Source organism: Homo sapiens, chromosome 9 (genome assembly GCF_000001405.40).
Source record: "Homo sapiens chromosome 9, GRCh38.p14 Primary Assembly".
Lineage (NCBI taxonomy): Eukaryota > Metazoa > Chordata > Mammalia > Primates > Hominidae > Homo > Homo sapiens.
This window is the reverse complement of record NC_000009.12, coordinates 16,921,443-16,939,169: the sequence shown is the minus strand read 5'-3', so window position 1 is coordinate 16,939,169 and position 17,727 is coordinate 16,921,443. Positions and strand designations below refer to the sequence as shown.

Genomic DNA, 17,727 nt, shown 5'->3' with positions numbered 1-17,727 from the left:
TTACTTCTTTCACTTGCCTAACTGTTCTGGCTAGCATTTCATGAATAGAGGTAGAGAGAGTAGGCATCCTTGTCTTGTTCCTGTTCTTAAAGCAAAAGCTTTCAAGTTTTCACCATTGAGTATAATGTTAGCTGTGTGTGTGTCATATATAGTCTTTCTTGTGTTGAGGTACATTCCTTGTATACCTAATTTGTTGAGTTTTTATTGTGAAAGAATGTTGAATTTTGTCAAATGCTTTTTCTGCACCTATTGGGATGATCATGAATTTTTTCCTTTATTCTTTTAATGTGGATTTATCACATTTATAGATTTGCATATGTTGAACCATCCTTGAACCCTTGGGATAAATCCCACTTGATCATGGTGAATGATCCTTTTAATGTGTTGTAAAATTAGTTTTCTAGGACTTTGTTGAGTATTTTTGCATCTATGTTTTTCAAGGATACTGCCTGCAAGTTTCTTTCCTTGTAGTGTCCTAATCTGCTTTGGTATCAGGGTAATTTTGGCCTTGTAAAGTGAGTTTGGCAATAATCCTTCTTCTTCAATTTTTCGGAAGAGTTTGAGAAGGTTTGATTTTCTTTCTTTCTTTCTTTCTTTCTTTCTTTCTTTCTTTCTTTCTTTCTTTCTTTCTTTCTCTTTCTTTCCTTTCCTTCCTTCCTTCCTTCCCTCCTTCCTTCCTTCCTTCTTTCTTTCTCTTTCTTTCTTTCTTTCTTTCTCTTTCTTTCCGCCTTTCTTCCTTTCCTCTTTTTTTTTTTTTTTTTTTTTGAACGGAGTTTCTCTCTGGCCGTCCAGGCTGGAGTGCAGTGGCACGATTTCAGCTCACTGCAACCTCCGCCTCCTAGGTTCAAGCGATTCTTCTGCCTCAGCCTCCCAAGTAGCTAGGATTACAGGTGCCCACAACCACACCCAGCTAATTTTTGCGTTTAAAAGAAGACACAGGGTTTCACCATGTTGGCCAGGCTAGTCTTCACCTCTCGACCTTGGGGGATCTGCCCATCTCGGCCTCCCAAAGGGCTGGGATTACAGGCGTGAGCCACTGCCCCCACCCTGTATTAGTTCTTTCTTTTTGTTTTTCTTTTCTTTTCTTTTTTTTTTTTTTTTGAGACGGAGACTCGCTGTGTTGCCCAGGCTGGAGTGCGGTGACATGATCTCGGCTCACTGCAAGCTCCGCCTCCCGGGTTCACACCATTCTCCTGCCTCAGCCTCCCGGGCAGCTGGACTACAGGCGCCCGCCACCATGCCTGGCTAATTTTTTGTATTTTTAGCAGAGACAGGGTTTCACTGTGTTAGCCAGAATGGTCTCGATCTCCTGACCTCCTGATCCGCCCGCCTCGGCCTCCCAAAGTGCTGGGATTACAGGCGTGAGCCACCGTGCCCGGCCAGTTCTTTCTTAAATGTTTGGTAGAAGTCAGCAGTGAAGCCATCAGGTCCTAGGCTTTTTTTAATGGGAGACTTTTTAGTACTGATTCAGTCTCTTTACTAGTTATTGATCAAGTTAGATTTTCCATTTCATCATAATTTAGTCTTGGTAAGTTGTATGTGTCTAGGAAGTGATCCTTTTCTTCTAGGTTATCCAATTTGTTGGTGTATAATTGTTCATGAGACAGTAGTCCCCTTTTACCTGTGGTTTTGTTTTCCAAGGCTTCAGTTACTCTCAGTCAACCACAGTCAGCAAATAGATGAGTAGGGTACAATAATATATTTTGAGAGAGAGACCCACATTATTGTTATAATTGTTCTATTTTATAATTATTGTTATTAATCTCTTGTTCTATCTAATTTATAAACTAAACTTTATCATAGGTATGGATAAACAGAAAAAAACACAGTGTGCATAGGACTCGATATATAGTACATATAAACTATCCGTGGTTTCAGGCATCCACTGGGAATTTTGGAACATATTCAACAAGGATAAGAGGAAACTACTGAAGTCTCTCAGGGTCCTTTGTGTTTCTGTGGTATCAGTTGTAATGTCTCCTCTTTCATTTCTGATTTTATTTGAGTCTTCTCTTTTTTTCTTAGTCTAGCTAAAGGTTTGTCAATTTTGTTTATCTTCTAAAAAAAATTCTTAGTTTTATCTTCTCTTTGTTTTTCTAGTCTCCATTTCATTTATTTCTGCTCTGATCTTTATTATTTCCTTCTACTAACTTTGGAATTAGTTTTTTCTTCTTCTTCTAGTTCCTTGAGAAGTAAGGTTAGGTTGTTTATCTGAGATCTTTCTTCCTTTGTGATAAGTATATTGCCTTAAACTTATGACTCAGAACTGCTTTGCTGCATCCCCTAAGTTTTGGTATGTGTGTTTCCATGTTTTCCAGATTATTTAAATTTCTTCTTTGACCCATTGTTGATGAACATTTTGTTTAATTTCTATGTGTTTTTCAATTTTTCAAAATTTCTCCTGTTATTGATTTCTAGTTTCATATCATTGTAGTAGGAAAAGATTCTTGATATGATTTCAGTCTTCTTAAACTTGTTAAGGCTTATTGTGTGGCCTAACATGCTCTATCCTGGAGAATGTGTCTTTGAGAAGAATGTGTACTCTGCTGCTATTGGATGGAGTGTTCTGTATATGCCTGTTAAATCCATTTGGTCTAAAGTGTAGTTTGTTTGATGTTTTCTTATTGATTTTCTGTCTAGATAATGTGCCTGTGAAAGTTTTGAAAGTATAGGGTGAACAGGATAGAAGGACCACACTACATGCATCCTGGGTTGTGCTGTTCATGTCTTATTTCTCTGCAACATCAGCCTTCTCCACTGATGTAGTTTAAAGGTAGTCTGAAGGACCAGAATTAGGTTTAAGCCAAGGGGCTAAGAAGATGGGAGGTGACTAGAACCTATACATGCTTGAGAGATGCAAGGAAAAAGCTGTAGCATACCAACCAGCCTGATGAGCAGCTTTTTGGGGCAGAGGTGGCAAAAGGTCAGAATGATGTCACCAATCAACAGCCAATCTAACAGAGTGCTTAATATTGAATAGTGAGTGCTTCGTGTGCCTCATGTCTATTTAGCATAATATTAATATTTTGTGTCTCTTGGTCCTTCTATCTATATATAAAAAAAACTTTTTGGGTCCATTTTAGTACATGTTCCAATTATCATATCTATATTTAATATGTGTTATAGTTAGCTAGCTTATTATTTATTTATATTTAACAAAGCTAATTAACTTTATCTATGTTTTACAAGTCACTTGCTTATGCAGTATCCATACTCAACATGCCATATGAATTCCACCCATCCCATTTATTTTTCTTATCCTTCATAAGTGAATATTGTCAAATAATACAGCAAACCCACATACAATAGTGCTTACTCTTCAGAAAAATTATATAACCTTGAGTTGAGCCAAAGAAGACCCAGTCTCTGCCTCCTTGAGTACTGACCATGACATCCTTCTCTGTGTCACTTTCATCTCTGTTACTATCAAGTGCCAGAGTCAAATTGTTGGGTCTGGGGCAAGATGATCCAAGTTCCCTCATTTAAAAAAATATTGCATTGAAAACTCTTTCCTTTGGTATGACCTGATAGTATCTCTATCCCCAATCTGGCTGTTGTCTCCCTTACCTTATATTTTAAGGACATATCTTGGCTTTAAAATCCCAACTGTTACTGTTCCCATCCTGTTTGTGCCCTCCTCCCATCTCACTTATCCTCATAACCAGCCCATGGCTGTCTAAGTGCTCCTGACACAGGTCCTAGCCCTTGTTTAGGTTTCTTTTTCTGAATAATAAGCTTGGATTAAACTTTATTCCTTAGCTATTGTCAGCAAGTGTATTGTTACTTACCATTCCTTGCCTATAACAAACAAAACTAAATAACTACTTTCTTCTATCCCACAAAGCCCAGAATTGGACTGAGAATCCTTCCTTAGCATCATGACCCAGGTGGCCCATTACAACCAGTCAAAGTTGCCAGTTAAGATGAAACCTCATTGCCAACTCAAATCTCTTCTTTACTATGGATTATTCAGACATAAATTAGCTTAGCCTGGCTGGGCACGGCGGCTCACACCTGTAATCCCAACACTTTTGGAGGCTGAGGCAGGCGGATCACAAGGTCAGAAGACTGAGACCATCCAGGCCAACATGGTGAAACCCTGTCTCTACTAAAAATACAAAAATTAGCTGGGTGTGGTGGCGGATGCCTGTAGTCCCAGCTACTCGGGAGGCTGAAGCAGGAGAATGGCTTGAACCCGGGAGGTGGAGGTTGCAATGGGCCAAGATCACGCCACTGCACTCCAGCCTGGCGACAGAGTGAGACTCTGTCAAAAAAAAAAAAAAAAAAATTAGCTTAGCCTAATTTAACATGGCACAGCCCTAGACTTCCCCAGGTTAGGCTCCAACTTCACAGCTGGCACCTGGTGACTGACTAAAAGTGCTGAGTCACTCTTAAGAAATATTCACTTTGGGCTGGGCGTGGTGGCTCACACCTTTAATCCCAGCACTTTGGGAGGCCGAGGCAGGCAGATCACGAGGTCAGGAGATCGAGACCATCCTGGCTAACACGGTGAAACCCCGTCTCTACTAAAAATATGAAAAAATTAGCCGGGTGTGGTGGTGGGCGCCTGTGGTCCCAGCTACTCGGGAGGCTGAGGCAGGAGAATGGCGTGAACCCAGGAGGTGTAAATTGCAGTGAGCTGAGATTGCGCCACTGCAGTCCAGCCTGGGTGACTGAGTGAGACTCTGTCTCAAAAAAAAAAAAAAAAAAAGAAATATTCACTTTGATGAATGTTGCACTGACCATCATATTCAGAGACACCTATGGTTACCTCAATTTACTGGGCACTTGAATGTGTGTTCTATCCGTGCTGTTCCTTCTGCCTTGAATGCCCTTTCTGTTTCAGACAGATCTTTCTAAAATGCAAATCTGACTACATGCCTCAGTTGCTTAGAAACCTTCATTGGCTCCCTGTTGACCTCAGGATAAAGTAGTCCTCAGCCTGATAGAGAAGACTTTCTGGGAGCTGCATCTGGCCTACCTTTTCTAGTATCTCACGAGACCCCTTCTTCCCTCACACGCTGTCCTTGTCAGACCATCTTAAGTCACCTTTCCTTCATGCTCCTCCTCATTGCTCCAGCTTCATGAAATGTCCTACTATCCTATCTGTCTGGTGAATGCCTACTCATATATTTTAAGCCTCGGCTTAAGTATCACCTCCTCTTCGACCACTTTCATGAATTGAAATCACAACTGTAACTATTCTGTCTTTTTTGGGGAGACAATCTCTATGGGTCTATAAAACTTCTGCTCATCTTGCCAGTGGAACAACTCATTGTGTTCTAGACTATCTTTTCAAGGATGCTTGTATGACAGACAGCCTTGGAAGACCGAGATAGTATTTTCCTCCAGAGCCAAGAGCAGGTTTGTTTACTGTGCAGAATAACAAAATTAAGGTCTCTCTCTAGGGCAAAGGGCAGGCTGTTTCTCTACGCTAAAAGATTCAGTTTCGCTAGGCTAACAATTCATCTCCTACAATGCAACCCACAGCATATTCAGACATCACTTCACCCTATTTGTATCACTTTGTAGAAATTGCCATTATTGGGCACTTTGTCTACCAATACTGTCATGATTAATACATTATTTTGTCTCTGATCAAGGAGCCTCATGTCTCTGACAACATCCATGATATTGTGGCAAGCTAACTTAATAGCTTACAAGTAGGGTAAAATCTCAAACCCTTCACAGTTCTTGACAATATTGGCCCTTAACTGTAACATTTCTCAGCTCCTTAATGGTTCTGGACAGTACTATATTTGAACTCTATAACACTTTTAGCATAACACATCATTTTATTGCACTTATTGGACACCTACCACGTGCCACACACTACGACAAGACCTGAAAGATAGAAAGCCAAAAGACATGGTTGCTATCCTCAAGGAGTTTATACTCCAGTACAGAAACAGACCCCAACAATTAAAATCCTTCAAGATAATTTATAAGCTTTATAAATTACTTATGGGAACATCAGAAAGAAAATGTAAGGCTGCAAGGGGTTAAGGGAAGACTTCACTGAGGTGGTAATTTTATTCTAGCCTTGTAGGTTCAGATGAGAATTTTCCTGGACAATGAAGGGAAAGGTGTTCTTGCCAAGTACGCACAAATTCTAATGATAATTCCAAATCCTGCTGAATATGACGGTCAGTGCAGCATTCGTCAAAGTGAATATTTCTTTTTTTTTTTTGAGACAGAGTCTCCCTCAGTCATCCAGGCTGGAATGCAGTGGCGCGGTCTCGGCTCACTGCAGTTTACACCTCCTGGGTTCGCGCCATTCTCCTGCCTCAGCCTCCTGAGTAGCTGGGACTACAGGCGCCCACCACCACGCCTGATAGATAGCTAGATAGACAGACAGACAGACAGACAGACAGACAGACAGACAGACAGACATGGTTTGGCTCTGTGTCCTCACCCAAATCTCATTTCAAATTGTTATCCCCATATGTTAATGGAGGGAAGTGATTTGATTACGGGGGTGGTTTCCCCCATGCTGTTCTCATGATAGGGAGTGAATTCTCACGAGATTTGATGGTTTTGTAAATGGTAGTTTTTCCTGCGCTCACACACACTCTATCTCTCCTGCCACCATGTGAGACGTGCCTGCTTCCCCTTCCGCCATGATTGTAAGTTTTCCGTGGCCTTCCCAGCCATGCAGAACTGTGAGTCAATTAAACCTCTTTCCTTTATAAATTAAGGAAGAGTGTACCTTGGGTAGTATCTTTATAGCAATATGAAAACGGAAAACACACATATATAATGCCACAAGGGATGCAGCAAAAAAAGTAGACAAGGCCATTTCATGGAGAACATTGTTGATTGAGAAACTCCTTGGAAAGGAATTGAGACTTTGTCCTGCATGTGATTATACTAATTATCAATAACACTATAGGCAAGGAGAAGCATTGAAGTAGTGAAATGGCTTTAAGCTTCTAGTATAAACCCTAGCACACAGTAAGCTTTTGAGCAGATTTTTTGTTGTTGTTGCAAATAATAGAAAATTCAATTCAATCTGGTTTAAATAATAAAGGTAATTTATTGGTTCATGAAACAAAATGTCCAGTCAGAGACATCAGGCATGGCTTGAATCAGAATTTCTTATCATTTGGGCTCTGGGTCCATTTTTCTGACTTTCTTGGCTCTGCTGTCCCCTCTGTGCTTGCTTTATTCTCAGACTACATTTCCTCATAGAACAAACATAGCTGTAACAATTCCATGTCTCACAGCTACATACCCTCTGGAAGGAAAGTGAACACCCTTTATCTGAACATTCCAAGCAGAATTTAAGTTTTGCTCCAATTGGCACCCTAGGTCAGATGTCACAAAAGAACCAACCTATGTGTCAAAAGAGATGGAGGCCGGTTGCAGTGGCTCATGCCTGTAATCCCAGCACTTTGGGAGGCCAAGGCAAGCGGATCACGAGGTCAAGAGATGGAGACCATCCTAGCCAACATGGTGAAACCCCATCTGTACTAAAAATACAAAAATTAGCTGGGCGTGGTGGCACTCACCTGTAGTCCCAGCTACTCGGGAGGCTGAGGCAGGAGAATCGCTTGAGCCTGGGAGGCGGAGGTTGCAGTGAGCCAAGATAGCACCACTGCACTCCAGCCTGGGTGGCTGAGCAAGACTTTGTCTCAAAAAAAAAAAGAGAGAGAGATGGAATATTCTAGGTCACATGCTCCATTGGCAGAATCACATGGATTTCAAGATAGAAACAAAAGCCTTATAGAAAGCGAAAAGAAGGATGTTGATTGCTGAAGAATAAACACCAAGTGTACAAGTTGGCCCCAATAGATGTTTCCCAAATGGACAAATAATATCTGGCATTGATGGTATTTGCAACCTAATATGATCTCTCTGGTGCAACTGTAGAGGAGGTGGATGAAACTCTTAAGACTAGAGGCAATAAGATCAGTAAGAAGGATACTACAATGAAAGTCATGATAGGAAGAAGGGATAGAGAGTGAATGAGTGGATCTGACACTTTCTTTTTTTTTTTTTTTTTTTTTTGAGACAAGGTCTCTCTCTGTCACCCAGGCTGGAGTGCAGTGGTGTAATCACAGCTTACTGCAGCCTCAACTTCCTGGGCTCAAGCGATCCCCCCACCTCAGACCCCCTCCCCGCTGGTCCCCAGTAGCTGGAACTACAGACGTAAGCCACTATGTTCAGCTAATTTTTTAATTTTTTGTAGAGATGGGGTCTCACTTTGTTGCCCAGGTTGGATCCGACACTTCTGAGCATGTCCCTCCTTAAAGATGTAGCTGAGAAGCACTGGTATGTGCTATTCTTCCCTAGTACATTTTAAAATGCCTCCTAGACAGAGTTATCTGTCTGGATGCCCTGTAAACCTGTTCACCCTAACCTATAAATAGGCTCAGTGACTCCTATTCTTAAAAAATAACAACTGCAACATTGGCCAGGCAGGGTGGCTCATGCCTGTAATCCCAGCACTTTGGGAAGCCAAGGTGGGTGGGTCATCTGAGGTCAGGAGTTCAAGACCAGCCTGGCCAACCTGCTGAAACCTCTTGTCTGTTAAAAATACAAAAATTTGCTGGGAGTGGTAGCACATGCCTGTAATCCCAGCTACTCCGAAGGCCAAGACAGGAGAATCTCTTGAACCCTAGAGTCGGAGGTTACAGTGAGCCGAGATTGCTGCACTGCACTCCAGCCTGGGTGACAGAGTGAGACTCTCTCAAAAACAAAAAAACAAAAAGCAACATTTTTCCTTGGCCTCACCTCTCACTCCACCACAACCAGATAATTCATTCCTGTCCACTTTTTGGCCACTATTTTTTTTTTCTTTTGAGATGGAGTCTCACTCTGTCGCCCAGGCTGGAGTGCAATAGCATAATCTTGGCTCACCGCAGCCTCCACCTCCGGGTTGGTTTAAGCAATTCTCCTGCCTCAGCCTCCCAAGTAGCTGAAACTACAGGCACATGCCACCACACCCAGTTAATTTTTGTATTTTTAGCGGACACGGGGGTTCACCATGTTGGCCAGGATGGTCTTGATCTTCTGACCTTGTGATCCGCTTGCCTCAGCCTCCCAAAGGGCTGGGATTACAGGCGAGAGCCACCACGCCCGGCCTTTGGGCCACATTTGTTCTTTTGTTTTTTCATTTTTGTCGAAAACAGTCTCACTATGTTGTCCAGGCTAGTCTCGAAATTCCTGGGCTCAAGCTATCCTCCCACCTCTGCCTCTCTAAGTGCTGAGATTATAGGTGTGAGCCACCACACCCAGCAGCAGATCATTTTTATTATGAAAACAATTTCTTTCCAGATCACCAACAACATTCTATTTGCAAATGCAGTGGTCATTTTATAGACCTGTCCTTACTGGGCTGGCTGCTCTAACCTCTCTAAAATGCTACTAAAAACTCTGTACCCTGGATTCTCTGTGGAATCTCACTTTTCTGATTCTTATAACCTTTCCTTTTTCACTTTTGTTTCTTCATCCTGCCCCAGAGCCTTACTGACAAATATTGTTCAGGGACCTCACCTAATCTTTCTGCTTTCCTATCTCTGGACCAGCACTGTCCAATATAGTAGTCACTAGCCACAGGAGGCTATTCAGCATTTGAAATGTACTAATCCAAACTGACATGTGCTGTAAGTAGAAAATACAGGCCAAACTTCAAAAACTTAGTAAAAAAATGAAAAAGAAAGTAAACATCTCAATTTTTAAAATATGAAATACGGCTGGGTGTGGTGGCTCATGCCTATAATCCCAGCACTTTGGAGGCCAAGGCGGGTGGATCACCTGAGGTCAGGAGTTCAAAACCAGCCTGGCCAACATGGCAAAACCCTGTCTCTACTAAAAATACAAAAATTAGCCTGGCATGGTGGCGGGTGCCTATAATCCCAGCTACTTGGAAGGCTAAGACAGGAAAATCACTTGAACCTGGGAGTCAGAAGTTGCAGTGAGCCCAGATCGTGCCATTGCACTCCAGCCTGGGGGAAAGATCAAAACTCTGTCTCAAAAAAAAAAAGAAAAAAATACACATTGAAATTGTAACATTTTTGATATATTTGTGTTAAACAACACAAATGTTTATTTTTTCAAAAAAGTTTATTTTTTTCAAAATTAATTTCACATGTTCCTCTTTAGTTTTTTTAATGTCACAGGTTATTTTTCTTTTTTAAATTTCACATTTTCAAAATTACATATGCGGCTTGCATTCTATGTCTCTTGGACAGTGCTACTCAAGACAGTCTCCCTGGGTGAGCTCGCTCAGAATGACAACTTCCCTTACAATTGTATGAATCAAATCTCCTTTCTTCCCTGACCTTCAGATTTGTATATTCCCCTGTCGGTTTACCATTTCCATATGGATAATAGCTAACAGCAGATGTTTATTAAGTGCTTTCTATGTGCCAGGCACTATTCTAAGTACTTCATATGTGTCATCTCATTGCTAATCCACAACAGCTCTTTGAGGTAGGTACTATTACTATGCTCTCTTTTACAGATGAGTAAACTGAAGAACAGAGCAGTTTAAGAAATGTGTCCAAGTTCACACATCTAGTAAGTGGTGAATCACAGAGGCAAATATAAGCTTTTCTGCCACCAGGGCACATTTTGTCTCTATATAGACCCCAGATAGCCTTTAAAAACTAAAAGTCCACCTGTTTCTAACCGAACTCACTATGTTCTTCCCTAACATTGAGCTGCATAAACTGCATTTTCCCCTCCAGATCCTCTGTTGCCCTAGGAGGATAACCTGTATGAACTATGCTGCGGACCTCTTCACTCTGCTTCAGCTTCCGGTTGGGCTTGGCCATGAGCAATCCCAGCAGGAGGTCAGAATAAGAGACCAGAATGAGGTCACAGTGCTGATCTCTCCTCCTTCACCTCCCTGCAAGGCTGCAGCAGGATGGCTTCTTCCCCATCCCTTGAGCAAGGTCACAGTTCTTGCCAGGCAGCCCTTCCACACAGCAACCTTCTGTTTTCAGGTTCCCAAAAATGGTTCCTTCAGATCTTGGGTTGACAACAGCATTCCTTCCCTCATCCCACTATTATTAGCTCCAAAGGGCTACATTAGTACTCGTGGTGTCTTTATACCCTGCCCACAACTTTGTGTAACTGATTTAGTTATTAAGGCCTTCTCAGTTGCCCAACCTGAGTGTGTTCCTGTTCTGGGGGGTACCCTGACCAAAACACACACATTCCTTTTTCCGTATTCATTAACTCAATTAGCAGCAGCATAGACCCCCAGTCGGGAAGGCTAAACCTGAGTCCTGCTCTGTTTTACCCTCCCCTTTCGCCTTCCCAACTCCCACATCTAATCTGTCCTAAGTCTTGCTAGTTTCCTTGTCTTTAGGCCCTTGCCATCTTTCCCTAGATTATAATACTGGTCTCCAGTAAGTCCTACTCAAGCCCATCATCTGTAACACAGCCAAAGTGAGCTATTTGGCTCCCTTTCATCTCATCCATACAATGCAAAACCTCAGCAGGGCTCTCCCTCGGTTAAAACCCTTCCAAATCTCCACGCCGCCAACAAGCCATGCATTGTATCTCACCAAGATCACCTAAGTCTTTGCCTAATGATTTATGCTCCAAAGACAGCTGTGCTTCCAAGTTCACACATGGTTCTCCGTGCCTTTGTGCTCTGCTTCTGCTTACTGCTTCTACCTTCCCAAACCGTCCTCAGACCCCCAGCTTAGCCAACTCCTACTCATCTTACAACACTCATCACTTTAGGAGACAACCCAAAGTCTTCCAGATAGCATTATCCCTCCACACATACATTCATGTGGCTTTCTCTAGGTAAGGTTTCTCTTTCTTTCTTTTTTCTTTTTGAGACAGAGTTTCACTCTTGTCACCCAGGCTGGAGTGCAATGGCACGATCTTGGCCCACTGCAACCTCGACTTCCCGGGTTGAAACCATCCTCCTGTCTCAGGCTCCTGAGTAGCTGGGATTACAGACACGCACCACCACGCCTGGCTAATTTTCATATTTTTAGTAGAGATGGGGTTTCACCATGTTGGCCAGGCTGGTCTCGAACCCCTGACCTCAGGTGATCCGCCCGCCTTGGCCTCCCAAAGTGCTAGGATTAAAGGCATGAGCCACCACGCCTGGCAAGGTTTCCCTTTCAATACCATGTGCATGCCTCTACTATTGCACTTACCTTGTCTTATTACATCTTCGTATGTCGTTTGCCCCCTTCCCATCTCTGGGCCTAGCCCAGTGCCAGGCACTTACTACACACTCAGTGAATGTTTTGTTGAATGAATATATGGGATAAGTGTTATAATCAACCGCAGAAAGTGAAGTTATTAAGGCATATAATTTTGACAAATTAAGGCCAGATTTAACTTTTACCTAAATTTTATGGTAATTCTAGGAAAGTCTTTCTGATAAATCTAATTCAATTTGTATTTAAAGACCTAACCTCAATTTTTCAAGCCAATGTTTCTACACTCGATACCTGTGGAGACACTTGATCTACGCCATTTTTTTTTTTTTTTGAGATGGAGTCTTGCTCTGTTGCCCAGGCTGGAGTGCAGTGCAGATCTCAGCTCACTGCAACCTCCACCTCCCAGGTTCAAGCAATCCTCCTGCCTCAGCCTCCCAAGTAGCTGGGATTACAGGCGCCCTCCAGCATGCCCGGCTAATTTTGTATTTTTAGTAGAGATGAGGTTTCACCATCTTGGCCAGGCTGGTCTCGAACTCCTGACCTCAGGTGATCCACCCACCTCAGCCTCCCAAAGTGCTGGGATTACAGGCGTGAGCCACCACACCCAGCCCTAAGTTGTATTTTTTATGGCTGATCTGTGAGAATTTTTTCTCCTGAGCAGTATGTTTTTGTATGCAGCTAATCCTTTCCTCAGTTTTCTGTACTTTGTTCCTTTTTTTTTTTTTGAGATGGAGTCTTGCTCTCTCACCCAGGCTGGAGTGCAGTGGCGTGATCTTGGCTCACTGCAAGCTCCATCTCCTGGGTTCATGCCATTATCCTACCTCAGCCTCCCAAGTAGCTGGGACTACAGGTGCCCACCACCACATCCAGCTAAGTTTTTGTATTTTTAGTAGAGACGGAGTTTCACTGAGTTAGCCAGGATGGTCTTGATCTGACCTCATGATCCACCCGCCTCGGCCTCCCAAAGTGCTGGGATTACAGGTGTGAGCCACCGTGCCTGGCCCTGTACTTTGCTTCTAAATGTACCCCTCTATTTCTTCTTTTTGAATAAATTTAAAAACTCATACTGCTGGATCCACTGCTTATCTTATTCAGTGTATTCCATACTTTGAAAGGACACTTTTGCTTTCCAACATGACATTTAACAAGCAGACTTGATATTATCTATCCCAGTTTGAAACTGAAACTCATTTCAAAGGAGGGGATCATTTTCTAGATGATAGTTATATAGCAGTTTTCTCTCCACTTCTTCCACCTTAGAACCTACTCAAGGAAAACTGCTCACTTCATTTAGAAGCTTTTTTTTTTTTTTTTTTTTTTCAGAGACAGGGTCTCACTGTGTTGTCCAGGCTGCTTGCAAACTCCCGGGCTCCAGTGACCCTCCCACTTCAGCCTTTCAAGTAGCTAGGACTACAGGCATTCCACCACATGCCTGGCTTCTTTTTGCATTTTTAAACTATGACTTAAGTGTTGTTTTTTACTGTTTTTTTGTTTTTTTTTTTTTCTGTGTAAATTTTCCTTTGCTTATATTCAGGGCCCTGAGTGAAAATCTACAGAGATGCTGAAAGAGAAAAAAAGGACTTTGAAGGATTTATATTTTTTTATGTTCTTTACTTGTTAGTAGTTAAAATATTAGCAAGCAAGGGGATCTTTTAAGTTTTTCTCTAAAATATAATTATTCTAACTATTGAAACAATTTTTCCAGAAAAGCCTCTTTTAGACAATTGTAGTTTTTAATCTTTATATATCTGTACATCTAGAATTCTACAAATAAGACATGTAATACCCTGTGTTTGCACCTCTCCCATCTTCCTCTTGCTTCTCTGGTGTGTGGGTGAATGGAGTGTGCACAAAAGCAAGGACCACCCCCAGGACAGGCACTCTGCTCCCTGTGCTGCCCAGGTCCTTTGGTCTTCTTCTGTGACAGTTTCTTTTCTTAGCCCACTAAGCAATGATAGCCACCAAGATCATATGCTAAATATACCCCCTCTTTGGCAAAAAACCCCACATATATATATATACACACACACACACACACACATAATAAAAAAATCAGAAGTTGAGAGGTGACAACGTGCTAGCAGCCCTCGCTCGCTCTCAGCACCTCCTCAGCCTTGGCGCCTCCTCAGCCTCGGCGTGTGGCCACACTTGAGGAGCCCTACAGCCCGCTGCTGCACTGTGGGAGCCCCTCTCTGGGCTGGCTGAGGCCAGAGATGGCTCCGTTTGTGGGGAGGTGTGGAGGGAGAGGCACAGGCGGGAACCGGGGCTGCGCGCTGTACTCGCGGGCCAGCGTGAGCTCTGGGTGGGTGCGGGCTCCACAGGCCCTGTGCCCGGCGCTGCTGGCTCTGGGCAGTGAGGGGCTTAGCACCTGGGCCAGCAGCTGCAGAGGGTATGCTGGATCCCCCAGCACTGGGGACCCGCCCACACCACGCTTGAATTCTCACCGGGCCTCAGCCGCCTCCCCAACAGGGCAGGGCTCGGGACATGCAGCCTGCCATGCCCAAACACCCACTACCCCCCCGCACCCCCACTGTGGGATCTCATGCGGCTGGAGTCTCCCTGCCGCCCACTACTCAGCACGCCTGGGTCCCATCGACCACCCAAGGGCTGGGGAGTGCAGACGCGCAGCACAGGACTGGCGGGCAGCTCTGCCCACAGCCCGGTGCGGGATCCACTAGGCGAAGCCTGCTAGGCTTCTGAGTCGGGTGCAGACTTGGAGAACTTTTAAGTCTAGCTAAAGGTTTGTAAATGCACCAATCAGCACTTTGTGCCTAGCTCAAGGTTTGTAAACGCATCAATCAGTACCCTGTGTCTTCCTCAAGGTTTGTAAATGCACCAATCAGTGCTCTGTGTCTAGCTAATCTAGTGGGGACTTGGAGAACTTTTGTGTCAAGCTAAAGGAGTGTAAATGCACCAATCAGCACTCTGTGTCTAGCTCAAGGTTCATAAATGCACCAGTCAGCACACTGTCAAAATGGACCAATCAGCTCTCTGTAAAATGGGCCAATCAGCTCTCTGTAAAATGGGCCAAGCAACTCTCTGTAAGATGGACCAATCAGCAGGATGTGGGTAGGGTCAGATAAGGGAATAAAAGCAGGCTTCCGGAGCTAGCAGTGGCAATCTGTTCTGGTGCCTTTCCATGCTGGAAAAGCTTTGTTCTTTCACTCTTCACAGTAAATCTTGTTGATGCTCAGTCTTTCAGTCTGTGTGCCTTTATGAGCTATAACACTCACTGCGAATGTCTACAGCTTCACTCCTGAAGCCAGCAAGACCACGAACTCACTGGGAGGGACGAACAACTCCAAACGCGCTGCCTTTAAGAGCTGTAAAACTGACCGTGAATGTCTGCCGCTTCACCCCGGAAGTCAGTGAGACCACAAACCCACCAGAAGGAAGAAGCTCTGGACATCTATGAACATCTGAAGGAACAAACTCGGGACACACCATGTTTAAGAACTGTAACACTCACCGCCAGGGTCCACAGCTTTATTCTTGAAGTCAGTGAGACCAAGAACCCGCTAATTCTGGACACAAAGTCAATACCACTATTCTAACATTGTATTTGAATTTGAAAATACTCTATATGATTCTTGACTTAAAATATTTCAATGACTTTTTACAAGGAAATAACTTGTGGCAATTATATACTGATGTAAGCTCCTAAGTAAGAGACAGGATGTCTTCAGTGACTCATAGCAGTATCTTTTTCTTTTTTTTTTTTTGAGACGGAGTCTCACTCTGTTGCCCAGGCTGGAGTGTGGTGGTGCAATCTCAGCTCACTGCAAGCTCCGCCTCTTGGGTTCATGCTCTTCTGCCTCAGCCTCCCGAGTAGCTGGGACTACAGGCGCCCACCACCATGCCAGGCTAATTTTTTTTGTATTTTTAGTAGAGACGGGGTTTCACCATGGTCTCGATCTCTTGACCTCGTGATCCACCCACCTTGGCCTCCCAAAGTGCTGAGATTATAGGCGTGAGCCACCATGCCCAGCCTCATAGCAGTATCTTCACACACTCCTTAGCTGGACAACACCAAGAGGCCCCACTGGTAGCTCATCAAAGATATTTATTCCTTGGCTAAAGCGAGCTAAGTTTGTTACTGTTGCATCTGTGGAGCTACCATGGTAATGGGAGGCAGGACTGGTTTCAGGAGCTTGAGATCTGCGCAGTGGCTTAGGAAGCCAGACCCTGTTAGAAGGGTCCTGTGCATCCATTTATGCCCTGCTGTTGCTATCTTGGAATTCTTAATAATTTTTGAACAAGGGTGACCTAGTTTTCATTTTGTACTGGGATCTGCAAATTACGTACTTGATGGGAGGTAGGAAGTAACAAGCACAGTTTAAGAGGGGGAAGTATACTTAATCCTCTATACATTCTTTTCAAAGAATAAGGCAAACCACATTCCAGAAAGCAAAAGGGTTCTCTTTCCTCACCTTGGTTATTTTCTTCACCTTGATCATTTTATATTTCTTCACCTTGATCATTTTATATGAAGATGACTAGAGTATCCTAAAGAATGTAAGAGAAGGATTAGAAAAAGGAATGATGACTTTACATTGTTTTTGTATTAGAGGATATAATACTAGCTTGAAGGGAATAATTCAGGTAGTGATTTTCTTTTCATGGAAACTTTTGTATTCCATTAAAATGCAATATAAACCTAAATCACCTTAGAAACCTCTAGGGGAACAGCCATATAGATTGCTTTCTTTTCAGTACTTACATTCTGGGAAATTTTTAAACTTACTTACATTTTAGGGGAGGAACTTTTTCAGAAATTTGATGTCAATAAATTAACTGATCGGGAAATGAGAAATATGGTGGTTTTTATTCCTGCTCTACTCTGGGAGGCAGTAGAACATAGTGAAAATCAAAGTCTCCAGGAAGGATTGATTTTAATCCCTGCTGAATTACCTTAGGGACCTCCCTCAAAGACCATGAACCTCAGTGTCCTAAACTGTGAAACTGGGTGACTAATACCCATCTCACAGGGTGGTTAATGGGTGATCAAACAAGACAATGCCATAAAATGTTTGACAAAGTGCAAGGCGTTGAGTCAGCTGTAATTATTGTTGTTGTTAATATTATTTCTTTCTGTCCTTCTCTTCTAGTGGAAGCCCTGTCTAAAACGATCTAGTCCTTCTGTGAGAGCCTGGATAAAGAATTTAACATGTTGGTACTAGAATATCCTCATTTGTGAAATGGTTGTTAACTTAGCACACCACCTAGCAGGTGATAGACATTCAGTAACTAACAGCATGTGGGTTGGGGTTAAGGGTTGTTTTTTTTTGTTTGTTTTGAGACGGTGTTTCGCTCTTTTTTGTCCAGGATGGTGTGCAATGGTGCTATCTTGGCTCACTGCAACCTCCGCCTCCTGGATTCAAGCAATTCTTCTGCCTCAGCCTCCCGAGTAGCTGGGATCAGAGGCGCACACCACCACGCTCGGCTAATTTTTGTATTTTTAGTCGAGACGGGGTTTTGCCACATTGGCCAGGCTGGTCTCGAACTCCTTACCTCAGGTGATCCGTCTGCCTCAGCCTCCCAAAGTGCTGGGATCACAGGTGTTAGCCACCACGCCCAGCCTCTTGATTTA

General features: G+C 43.3%; 1 annotated feature.

The window, feature by feature from the left end:
* Nucleotides 16,895–17,502: an enhancer, noted in NCBI's record as "OCT4-NANOG hESC enhancer chr9:16921666-16922273 (GRCh37/hg19 assembly coordinates)". NCBI's record gives its function as "activates a minimal SCP1, AML or CMV promoter by ChIP-STARR-seq in naive H9 embryonic stem cells {active_cell/tissue: H9 hESC(naive)}" and the evidence as "EXISTENCE:reporter gene assay evidence [ECO:0000049][PMID:30033119]".